This window comes from Homo sapiens, chromosome 6, assembly GCF_000001405.40.
Source record: "Homo sapiens chromosome 6, GRCh38.p14 Primary Assembly".
Classification (NCBI taxonomy): domain Eukaryota; kingdom Metazoa; phylum Chordata; class Mammalia; order Primates; family Hominidae; genus Homo; species Homo sapiens.
In genome coordinates, this window is record NC_000006.12 from 154,407,815 (window position 1) to 154,420,170 (window position 12,356).

General features: G+C 43.2%; 1 protein-coding gene across 5 annotated transcripts in view; it reads right to left on the bottom strand.

Moving 5' to 3' along the window:
* The window catches only part of CNKSR3 (CNKSR family member 3), a 123,171-nt gene that overhangs the window by 20,300 nt on the left and 90,515 nt on the right, over positions 1-12,356 (bottom strand). For all 5 annotated transcript variants that reach the window (NM_173515.4, NM_001368117.1, NM_001368116.1 and 2 more), the window contains 3 exons: positions 6,485-6,609; positions 3,120-3,328; positions 2,529-2,618 (listed from right to left, as the gene is read on the bottom strand). In NM_173515.4, the coding sequence (NP_775786.2) occupies positions 2,529-2,618; positions 3,120-3,328; positions 6,485-6,609 (424 nt within the window). The remainder of the gene's footprint in view (positions 1-2,528; positions 2,619-3,119; positions 3,329-6,484; positions 6,610-12,356) is intronic.

The following is a 12,356-nucleotide window of genomic DNA, read 5'->3' on the forward strand; positions in this document are numbered from 1 at the left end:
AAGTTTTCTAAATTTTAGAATTTAGAAAATTTTAGCCTTTTTCAAATTTTAGAATTTGAAAAAAAAAAAAAAAAAAAAAAACCTAAATTTCCAACAGTGGCACGTTGAATAAATAGGCGCTAGAGCCATAAGATGGCATTCTAATACGGCTATATTCTTTTCAAATATGGTGTAGATAATATTCATTTTTACATAGTATTATTGAATATTTACTTCTCCCCTTTTTTTGAGACGGAGTCTCACTCTGTTGCCCAGGCTGGAGTGCAATGGAGAGGTCTGGGCTCACTGAAACCTCCGCCTCCCAGGTTCAAGAGATTCTCCTGCCTCAGCCTCCCGAATAGCTGAGACTACAGGCGCCCACCACCACACCTGGCCAATTTTTGTATTTTTAGTAGAGACGGGGTTTCACCATGTTGGCCAGGCTGGTCTCGAACTGCTGACCTCGTGATCCGCCTGCCTTGGCCTCCCAAAGTGCTGGGATTACAGGTGTGAGCCACCGCACCTGGCCAACTTCTCCCATTTTGCACATTTTTCTAAGTATATAAATGTAAATACAGGAACAACTGGAAATCACACGAAACATTCACAGTGATTATTTCTTAGGTCAGAGAAACAGATTCCAGCTGAGTTTTATTTTCTCATGCCTTCCATGTTTTTCAATGTACTTGCTTTGCTTTTGTAATGAAAGGGGAACAGTCACATTGAAAAAGTGCCCATTGTCAAAAAGCCACATGTTGCATAAGTCTATTTATATGAAATGTCCAGAACAGGCAAATCCACAGAGTAGATGAGTGCCTGTCAGGGGCTGAAGAAGGACGGAATTGGGAGTGACTGCTAAAAGGCACAAGGTTTCTTTTTGGAGTGACAAAAATGTTCTGGAATAGTGGCAACTGGGGTACAACTCCGTGAATATACTAAAACCCACCTGACTGTATATTTTAAAAAGCTGAATTTCATGCAAAGAGTTATATCTCAATAAAACTGTTATTTTTTTAAGTGGCTGTGTATAGATAGATACCTTTATTCCAAAACAATCATGCAAGAAAAATATGCAAGGAGGAGTGGAGGGAACAAGTATTTTTCCATTTCCCAATTTCACACCCCATAACCCTGACACTTCATCTCTCCATGTATAAAATAAATAAAAGGCTCAACCCTGGCTCAGATGAACGGCAAGGAAGATGTTAACGTGTCTAAATCTAAACAACGGACAGCCCTGCCACCTGCTGACTGCTCCATGGATACTCACACGTTAACTAAGGGGATCCTGAATGGTAGGTACCCAGGCATCTTTCCCTTTTTCACTTTAGCATAATACAGGTGATATGGGTACTTAGGTGACAAACTTTACCAAGTCCCTAGAAAGGGTCAGGGGTCAATCAATCCCTTTGGAAGGTTAGGCTTCCAGAATTTTTTCTTCTTCCTTTTACTATCTAAAGCCTATTGTACTTTAACTTTTCAACTGCCCTTTGTTTCAACAACTGCAAAAACAATGTTATAATGTTCTGCCAATGATGACAATCAAATGCAATCTGGCAATAAAATGAGAATGTTTTAAAACATTTCACTCAAGACCAGCATAATAACCAGGGACTTTGATTACAGGGTGAATTAAACACAAATTTCTTTTCAAATAGTAACTGCCTTCTAACATAAGAAGGACTTGGAAGAAAAAAAAATCCATGTTTGTTCATCAGAAATCAAACAGACTCCAAAAATAAAAGCAACAAAATTTAGAATAAGATTGTTTAATGAAAGCTGGGCATGGTGGCACACGTCTGTAACACCAGCTATTCAGGAAGCTGAAGTGGGAGGATCACTTGAACCCAGGAGTTCAAGGCCAGCCTGGGCAACATAGTAAGACCCCATCTCAATTTTTAAAAATAAATTTTGAAAAAGATTGTTTAATGAATAATTTATTTCTATTCATTAAAAAATTAGACTATTGGCTGGGTATGGTGGCACATCCCCGTAATTCCAGCACTTTGGGAGGCTGAGGCAGGAAGACCACTTACAGCTAGGAGTTTGAGACCAGCCTGGACAACATATTGAGACTCTGTCTCTACCAAAAAAAAAAAAAAAATTAGCCAGCCGTGGTGGCGTGCACCTGTAGTCCCTGCTACTCAGGAGGCTGAGGCAGGAGGATCACTTGAGTCCAGGAGCTCAAGGCTGTAGTGAGGTATGATCACGCCACTGCACTCCAGCCTGTGTAACAGAGCAAGATCCTGTCTCTAAAAAGTAAATGAATAAAAATTAGACCATTAAAGTCTATAGCCTTTTTACAGCACTCAATGCTAATTAGGATATTTACAATCACTAACTAGGATTATATAATTTTGCCATTCTAGAAATAAGTAGGATCTTAAAGATCTTCAGCAGTCCTAATTTTACAGATGAGAAAACGGGACTCAGAAAGGCCAAGTACTCAGTCTACTTATTATAACACATTTAGAAACAGAGGTGAAACCAGGCCCTGGGGCTGTTCACTCCCCATTTGCTGTTCCTTGGTTTGCTTGGATGAAACGTACCTTTCCTGCCATGACCTCGAGGTCTGGCAAAAGGGTCCACAATCCCCATCCAGTTCCCATCAGCAGGCATGGACAAAGGCCGTGGCTTGCCTTCAGAGGGACGAGAAAGAAGGTGACAAGTTTGATGAGTTCTGGAACTTTAGTGAACCGTTCCCTTTATGTATAACTTAGACCTCACAATACCACACCCACTTAGACAGAAGCAATAACAAATTTTAAAATAAAAGTATTTTAAAGCACTGTATTTCCATAGCAGGAAATAGAGTGCTACTAAGATAGAGGCACATTAAACTTGAGCCTGTGAGTCTACAGAGCAAAGCAACTCCAAAGCTAAAACCCAGGCACTGAAAGTTAAAACTGTAACATGATCTCACCCAGTTGGGCTTTCATGCCAGGCAGAGTAATGACTCAACAAGGATCCGCTTGACAGAGATGAATAAAGGTCTCATACTTAGAATTTCATTGAGGTTTATGTTTTCCTCAGATTACTCTTGAAGTCTGCCAAATTCATCCAACAGTTCCAACTAAGGCAGGGGGCGGGGAGGAGAAGTCAAGGCCAACGGCAGAACAAAACAAACACTTGAAACTTACCATAAGATGGTGTTTTCTCTCTCATTTTTGTGGGCAGAATGTTGGTTTCCACCGAGTACCCAGGCAACTGATCCGAGTCTGCAATGGTGAATCTTCGTCTCCGGCTTTCCTGGTCCAAGAAGGAATTCGGGGACTCTGAACCCTTAGGACCAGGCAATGGTTGTTTGCACTTACTGGACCCTCCATAAACAAAACTGCCATTCTCATCCCTGGAAGATAATATGGACAATAATTAAGTTGTTTACAAAGATGTTCTCATACTGAAGAATTCCAGCAGTGCTGCTACCTCCAGCACACAGAAGATAATTTAAATTCTCCTTTTCCACTGGAGGAAAAGCATTCCTTTTGTCAACCCCAGTTGCCGCTCAAATACATACAGATCCTATTAAATAAGCAAAATACCATGACGTGATGAAATAAGAATAAATGCAGGCCGGACACAGCGGCTCCCGCCTGTAATCCCAGCACTTTGGGAGGCCAAGGCAGGTGGATCACCTGAGGTCAGGAGTTCAAGACCAGCCTGACAAACAAGGTGAAACCCCATCTCTACTAAAAATACAAAAATTAGCCAGGTGTGGTGGCAGGAGCTACTTGGGAGACTGAGGCAGGAGAAGTGCTTGAACCCAGGAGGCGGAGGTTACAGTGAGCTGAGATCATGCCACTGCACTCCAGCCTGGGCAATGGAGCGAGACTCCATCTCAAAAAAAAAAAAAAAAAAAAAGAAGAGTAAATGCAGGGTTTTTTTTAATATCCAAACAAATATAGCTTTGAAAAGACAGCTCTAGTTTTCCTGTGCTTCTGTGTGTAGCTGAATATCCTATTTACTACAGCAATCACACATTAAGGTATGCTCTAGCGAACCACGTTGCTCATGCCAAGAGTCGGATCTCTGCCAAAATCCAGCAAAAAAGACTTGATATATTATGAAGTTGTTAGATTTGAAAACCATGTCAAAAGATACAAAGGAACCTTTATAGTAACCAATGGAGAGTGATTCTTTTCTGAATCAAATACTACAAAAACCAGCAAAAGTTGGATCACTGATTCCATTCTAATTCTATCTACATGTCAGTTTAAACTGTAGGATTAATTTGAGTCCAAGTTACCAGCTGCTTAGTTTTTTTGCACTTGGTAAATTCCATTAGGCAAATCAGGACAAAAACTGCTAGACAAAATACAGAATCAACTGAGTCCCAAAGCAATCTACTAATCAGCCATGTCTGTGTGTGGTATTCCCAGGTGGGATGGCATCCACCTACCCCTCCCACCCACAAATATATCTCCTTCCATACCTTTAAACCGGGCATATAACTCCCCATTCACAAAGCTTTCATGACTCATGACTTGTTTCTCAGTAATCCATTCCCATTTTTCATTCCTCAGAAAATCCTTCATGAGTGGTGTGTGTGCACTCTCAAAAGCGTCTTCCCGAGCAGTTTAATCCAGCTCTCCTCCTAGCCCCAGGTTCCTTTATCTCTCACTATGTACACAGCACCCCTTTTCTTGCCACTACTCCAGGAACCCAGACAAGAATATTCTGGATCAAGGGAGGGTGCCTTCCTCCAGTTTCTGATAGAACAATCCACACATTAGTAGTGGAATGTCATGCTCTCTATATGCAGAGGGAAAGACTACCTGTAACTTTAAACACACTTAAGATCCTGCAAACCAGAATGCCCCGATCACCTGAGGTACATTCTCTACACGCTATAATAAGTTCTGAGTAAGCCAAGACTCAAGGAAATGGAAAACAATGTTGAATCTCTGCACCCAATGCAGAAGAAATACAATGAAGCAAATACCTCAGCTTCAAATGAAAACCAACAAACAAAAAATTCTGATAGAAAGTAAAATGTCACTGTAATAAAATCCAGCCTGAACTTTGTTTTATGAAATATTATAACCTAATCATATATTTCTCAATATATGCTTGAATTGTTGAATAAGACCCTGGCAGTTCTGTAGGGTCAAAGACCGAGTCTGTTTTGTGTCAGAGGGTAACCCAGACCCAATACTCAGGAAAGATATGCTGAATAAATGAGCCAGATTGTCTAGTTTTATCAACATATATAAATATGTGAGTTGATAAAAATAAGCCTAGATCACACCTAAATCATCCTGTACACTCTATATACCACCCTCATTATACCATACAGTATTCAAGTTAGCCATGAAGAAAGCAACTATCTTTTTAAGAATTTATGGTACACACACACACACACACACACACACACACACACACAAATATGAAATGTTCATACCTACACTCACAAGGTCTGAGTTTTTCTGTTTTTTGTTTTTTTGTTTTTGAGACTAGGTCTCACTCTGTTGTCCAGGCTGGAGTGCAGTGGTATGATCATGGTGTATTGTACTGCAGCCTCGACCTCCTGGGCTCCAGTGATCCTACCACCTCAGCCTCCTGAGTAGCTAGGACCACGGGTGCACACAACCACACCCAGCTAATTTTTTAAATTTTTTGTAGAGATGGGGCCTCACTATATTCCCCAGGCTGGTCTTGAACTTCTGGGCTCAAGCAATCCTCTGAACTGGCCTTCCAAAGTGCTGGAAATATTGGCGTGAGACACCATACCTGGCCACATAGGTTTTTTTTCAAGTTCTATGAAGAACACATCTTTCTCAGCAAAATCAAGCTGCAACTCTCATTAATCTCACAGAAATACTTATTATCTACCCCCTCAAGATGAATTTACCATGGAGTTAATGAAACTTAACCTGCAGGGCCCCCAATAGACCCTTCCAAGGCCCCAGGAGAGCACGTTTTCATTCGTTTTTCAAAAGTAAGGTATTGCTATATCCTTTTGTTTCTTTTTTGAGACAGGGTCTCGCTCTGTCACCCAGGCTGGATTGCAATGGCACAAACTCTGCTCACTGCAACCTCCACCTCCTAGGCTCAAGCGATTTTCCTGCCTCAACCTCCTGAGTAGCTGGGACTACAGGCATCTGCCACCAAACTCAGCTAATTTTTGTATTTTTTTATAGAGATGAGGTTTTACCATGTTGCCCAGGCTGGTCTTGAACTCCTGAGCTCAAGTGATCTGCCCGCCTCAGCCACCCAAAGTGCTGGGATTACAGGTGTGAGCGACCACACCTGGCCAATACTGCCATATTCTTTTCTCAGAAGGGCCCTCCCCACCAAACTGTATAGCTTCAAGCCCCACAGAACCCAGATATGTCCCTACACTCCTATAAAATAAGGCTGATCATACTTTTAACGGCAGTTCAAGATTCAGCCCTGTCACACTGTGGCTCAGCAACTTCCTCTCTCAAGATCCTCTTTTCACACCACCATTTACAAATGACACCAACAGGAGACAAGCATACCATGACAATGGACAGCAACATACCGGGGAGAGTAGGGAACAGCAGGCGGAGGAGGAATATAAAGATCCAGGATGGCTGACTTCTCCTTCTTCAGTGAGGTATCCATAGTGCTTTCAGGGGACTGGGTTGTCGCGGGTGGAGGTGAGGTCTGAAACAGGAGTAACACAGCAATGCAAAGAGTGGAGATCAATTCAGAGATGATTCTTGGTGTTTATTTCCCCTCCCCCAAACCAACACCAACCCCGTGTCTGAACAGGGACTGAGGTCATTCATGTGTTTACAGATATTGGCAATATTTAACTTACATTCTTCTTTGAAACCTTAGAATGAGCTGAGGGATTTGAATGACGATGTATAGTGGCAAGAAGCAGAGGCTTAGGAGCCAGGTGCCAGGGTTATGACTCTAGCTCTGAGCAAATCACTTAAACATCTGTGGCCTCCCTTTCCTCTTCTGTAAAGGAGTGATACTGATAATATCTCTTGCATAGAGCTGCAGTGAGAATTAGATGAGTTAGTTCATGAAAATTACTAGCAAGGCTGGGCACGGCGGTTCTTGCCTGTTACCCCAGCACTTTGGGAGGCCAAGGTGGACAATGGATTGCTTGAGCTCAGGACTTCGAGACCAGCCTGGGCAACATGGCGATACCCAGTCCCTACGAAAAAAATATAAAAATTAGCCAGGCGTGGTGGCACACGCCTGTAGTCCCAGCTACTTGGGATGATGAGATGGGAGGATTGCTTGAGCCCAGGAGGCAGAAGTTGCAGTGAGCGAAGAGTGTACCACTGCACTCCAGCCTGGGTAACAGAGTGAGACTCTGTCTCAAAAAAAAAAAAAAAAAAAAAAAAACAAGAAAGAAAAGAAAAGAAAAAGCAATCAGTAGCAGTGCTACTATTGACTAGGAGTATTGCTTGGAACTCTGGATGTGATCCTGGCTAGACTTACTAGCTGCCCATTTTTTTTTTTTTTTTTTTTAAGATGGAGTCTGCCTCTGTCTCCCAGGCTGGAGCACAGTGGCGCCATCTTGGCTCACTGCAACCTGTGCCTCCTGGGTTCAAGTGATTCTCCTACCTCAGCCTCCCAAGTAGCTGGGATTACAGGTGCGTGCCACCACACCCAGCTAATTTTTGTATGTTTAGTAGAGATGGCGTTTTGCCATGTTGGCCAGGCTGGTCTCAAACTCCTGACCACAGGTGATCCGCCCACCTCAGCCTCCCAAAGTGCTGGGATTACAGGTGTGAACCACCACGCACAGCCCTTATTAGCTGTTTATTGTTGAGCAAGTCACACAATGTCTCTGTGCCCCATCTATAAAATGAGAATAAATAGGGACAAGGATAGCACCAACATAGGGTGGCTGTGAGAATTAAGTAAGGTAACACATGTAAACAACTTAGGACACTGCTTTCCCATAGAAAATACACAACCTTATACCGTTTATTTTAGTACTATTTATACATATATGCATTCATATATACGAGTTAATCTTAACTTCAAATCCACATGGCTGAGTTTGAACTATGATACTGGTCTCAAAGGACATGGTTTTTAATATCTCATGTGAGAACTTCAATCTTACCTTCTACAATCTAACAATGACAACAATGATTTTTCTGGTTGGTAAAGAACAGCAAGGAAATCTTGGAGTCAAGGCAGGGAAATATTTGGTGAAGGCCAGTGAGACTGTGCCAAGCCCTGGGCAGACATAAAAAGGTACCCTTAGGCCCAGCGTGTGGGCACACACCTGTAATAATCCCAACACTTTGGGAGTCTGAGGCAGGTAGATCACTTGAGCTCGAGAGTTCAAGATCAGCCTAGAGAAAATAATGAAGCCCCGTCTCTACCAAAAAAAACAAAAACGAAAACAAAAAGCTACCCTTCAACCCTACCCAGCCTGGTTGTAATGGAAGAGATCTCTGAAGTGAAACTGTGACCTGATTCTAAGGATTGAAAGGACTGACTAGCCAGTGTGACGGAGCTAGACATGGCCACCAGGAGATTCACAGAGGACAGCTCATTTTCAGGAGAGATACCAAGTCACAGGGGCAGGGACTGAGCTTTCAGTCTTCCAGAGTAGAACCCCCATATTTTAAACCGTGGCCATTAATGCATAATCTATCAATTCTACTCAATTTGTAATTGATTGACATCTCAACATGTCAATTTCGGACCATATCTGAAAACATGAGGCCAGGATCCAGATTCTCCAAATCTTAGAAGCAAAAGTAAACTAGAACATTTCCACAAAATTGATGCTCCCTGAAAACACACATATTGATAATTACTTCTATATCAGTAACTCTCATTTCCCAGGAGTGTGGCATCAAAACAGAGTGGTGAATGCCTTTTCTATGATAGGACAACAGTAATGATGTTGAACAACTTAGAGCTCTCTTCTGAGAAGGGTGGGTGCCCAGGTACAAAGAATAATGAAGAATGGAACACAGAGAAACCCCCAGGGCTGGGGACTAAGTCTGCAGAGTATTTGTCTACCAGAGTTTATATTCTGAAAATATCCTGGGCACATCGCAAGAACACCTGGTAACTAAGCTATAAAATGGTGTCTGCATTTTGATGGTAATTATCTCCCTGTGTCACAAGCAAAATTAGGAGTCTCTGTCTCTCACCAGCACCTCTTCCCCAAACTGCAGCTAGAGGGACTTGGCAGGAAAGTAGGCAAACCAGAGAACATCGCAGTGTCTCTTCTTAAGTGAATTTCCAGAAGTCAAGGGACCAACGCTAGCCTGAACTTAAAAATTATTTTCACTCATGTTCTGAACATAACCATGTGAGTTTTCCTCTATTGCCTCAAACTCAATTATGCTCAAAATACCTAACATCTCTTCCTTCCAAATGGCCTCTTTTCTGACTTTCCAATTTTTGTCACCACGCAGGTTCCCTGTCACATTGGACACTTGCTTCTCCCTAGCCTTGCTGGCCTTTCTCACCCTTACCCCAAAACATTTTCGAATAGTCAACACTATTAAAGAGAAGAGCATGGCTTGGAAAGATTACATACCTTGACTAAGGGTCCCACAACAGCTAGTAAGTGGCAGAGCTGGGATCTGAACTGAAGTGGTTCAACTCAGAGGCCACATTCATAACCACTAGGCTGTGCTGCTTCCTGAGGCCTTCTGATGTGCTTCCCAGTGGCCTCCAGCATTCTTAGTCTTTCTTTCACTGAATCACCCATCACCAGCCTTGCCCAGGACCACATCGCCCTGTAGCTACCCTTATACAGCAGCCTCCCTTTTGGTGGTTCTTATGTTTAGATGTTATTATGGGCTGAACTGTGTCCCCTAAAATTCCTGTGTTCAAATTCTCACCCCCAGTACCCAGAATGTGACTGTATTAGGAGATAGGGTCTCTAAAGAGGTGGTTAAGTTAAAATGGAAGTCATTAGGGTGGGCTCAATCTGACATGACTGGTGTCCCATAAGATTAAGACACAGACATATATGGAGGGAAGACCACACGAGAACAGAGGAAGAAGACCACCATTTGCACACCAAGGAGAGGGTCCTCAGAATGAAGCCATCTCCACTGACTCCTTGACTTTGAACTTCTACCACCCCGTATGGCAGGCCTAGCTGAGTAATAGAGGTATTAATGTAAAAGCAGCTGTCAACTTGTCACCTGTGGAAGAAAGCCCATGCTCCCCAGCCTGGCACTCCATACCTGCCAATATAGTCTCAGGCAACCAGTCCAACTTTATCTCCCACCCTCAGCTCCACAGAGTCTGAGCTACTCATTTCTTCTGGTAGAAGCTCTGGAGCCCATCTAGAGTCTCACTACCGCCACTACCACCCCCCGCTGCTGGGAATGTCAGCTGCTAAAGCACACAGCTGCCCCTTCTCAGAAGAATGGCCCTCAGCTGACGGAGCTGCCTCGCCCGAGCAGGGCCACCAGAACCCGGAGCTGTGTGGCTCCACCAGGATGCTTCGTCCTGCATAGTAGGTCAAGGCTACGCTGCACCTGAGAGGCATCCTTGCTGCCTCCCCGTCATCATTCTGCCTTTCTCTCTCCCTTACCAGTTTTACTTGGAGCACATACCCTCAAAATTGCTTTCACAAGGATGTACACCTAAGACTCTGCTCTAGGAAACCTTATCTAAGACACCGCCCTTCCCCGATGGTGGTCTATCTATGTTTTGTGGGCGAGTGTGTTTGAAGAATAGCATTCATCTCCTCTACCATACATGCTCCCATCCGCCAATGCAAATCCCACCTACCCTCCCAGGCTCCCACCTCACAGTCCATACCTCTCTCTCCTTCAGAATCCAACATTTATCTTATGCAACAATTAGCGGGCAGAGCAAGCATTTGACAGGCACTCCATCAATTACCTACAAGGAATTAGCGCCTCTGGAATGTTAAGCATCATATTCTGAGAAATCCAAAAAAATCTAACCAAGTTTAAATTTTACACTGACCAATGCCAACAGAAACAGCTGGAGTATAATCAATAGGCTCAGTTATGGGCAATGATCTTTTGGCTCTGACTGCAAAAGCACAGGTGACAAAAGCAAAAACAGACAAGTGGGATTACATCAAATTAAAAAGCTTCTGCATAGCAAAGGAAATAATTGACAAGGCAGAGTCAACCTAAAAAATATCTGCAAACCATACATCAGATAAGGGGTTAATACCCAAAGTATATAAGGAACTCAAAGAACTCAACAGCAAAAAAAAAAAAAACAAAACACAAAGAACCTGATTTTAAAAATGGGTAAAGGACCTGAATTGACATTACTCTCTTGCTTTTTTTTTTTTTTTTTCTTTTTTTGGAGACAAGGTCTCACTCTGTCACTCAGGGTGGATGCGGTGGTACAATCAAGGCTCACAGCAGCCTCCCAGTCTCAAGCAATCCTCCCACCTTAGCCTCTCAAGTAGCTGGGACAACAGGTACGTGCCACCACACCCAGCTAGTTGGTTTTAAAAAATAAAAATTGTTGTAGAGACAGGATCTTGCTTTGTTGCCCAGGCTGGTCTTGAACTCCTGGGCTCAAACGATCCTCCTTCCTTGGACTCTCAAAGCACTACAATTACAGGCATGAGCCCCTGCAGCCAGCCCCGAATAGACATTTCTCAAAAGGAGATATACAAATGGCCAACAGAGATATGAAAAAATGTTCAGTGTCACTAATCATCAGGGAAATGCAAATCAAAGCCACAGTAAGATGACAGCTGGCACCTGTTGGAATGGCTACTATCAAAACACAAAAGGTAAGTGGTGATAAGGATGTGGAAATGTAGAAATCCTAGCACACGGCTGGTGGGAATGTAAATTAGTGGTGCCATTATGGAAAACACTACGGAGGTTTCCTGAAAAATTAAAAAGCAGCCTCACTACTGGATACACGTTTAAAGGAAATGAGATCAGTATGCTGAGGAGATATCTGCACCCTCATGTTCACTGCAGCATTTTTCAAAACAGCCCAGCCATCAACAGATGAATGGATAAGGAAAATGTGGTGTATATACACAAGGGAATGCTATTCACCCTTAAAAAAAGAAGGAAATGCTCGTGGGGCATGGTGGCTCACGCCTGTAATCCTAGCACTTTGGGAGGCTGAGGCGGGCGGAACACCTGAGGTCAGGAGTTTGAGACCAGACTGGCCAATATGGTGAAACTCCATCTCTACTAAAAATACAAAAATTAGCTGGGCGTAGTGGCGGGCACTTGTAATTTCAGCTACTCAGAGGAGGCTGAGACAGGAGAATCGCTTGAACCTGGGAGGTGGAGGTTGCAGTGAGCCAAGATCACGGCACTGCACTCCAGCCTGGGCAACGAGAGTGAAACTCCGTCTCAAACCAAAACAAAACAAAAAAAGAAGAAAAGGAAATCCTATCATGTGTGACAAGAGGGATGAACCTGGAGGACACTGTGTTAAGTGAA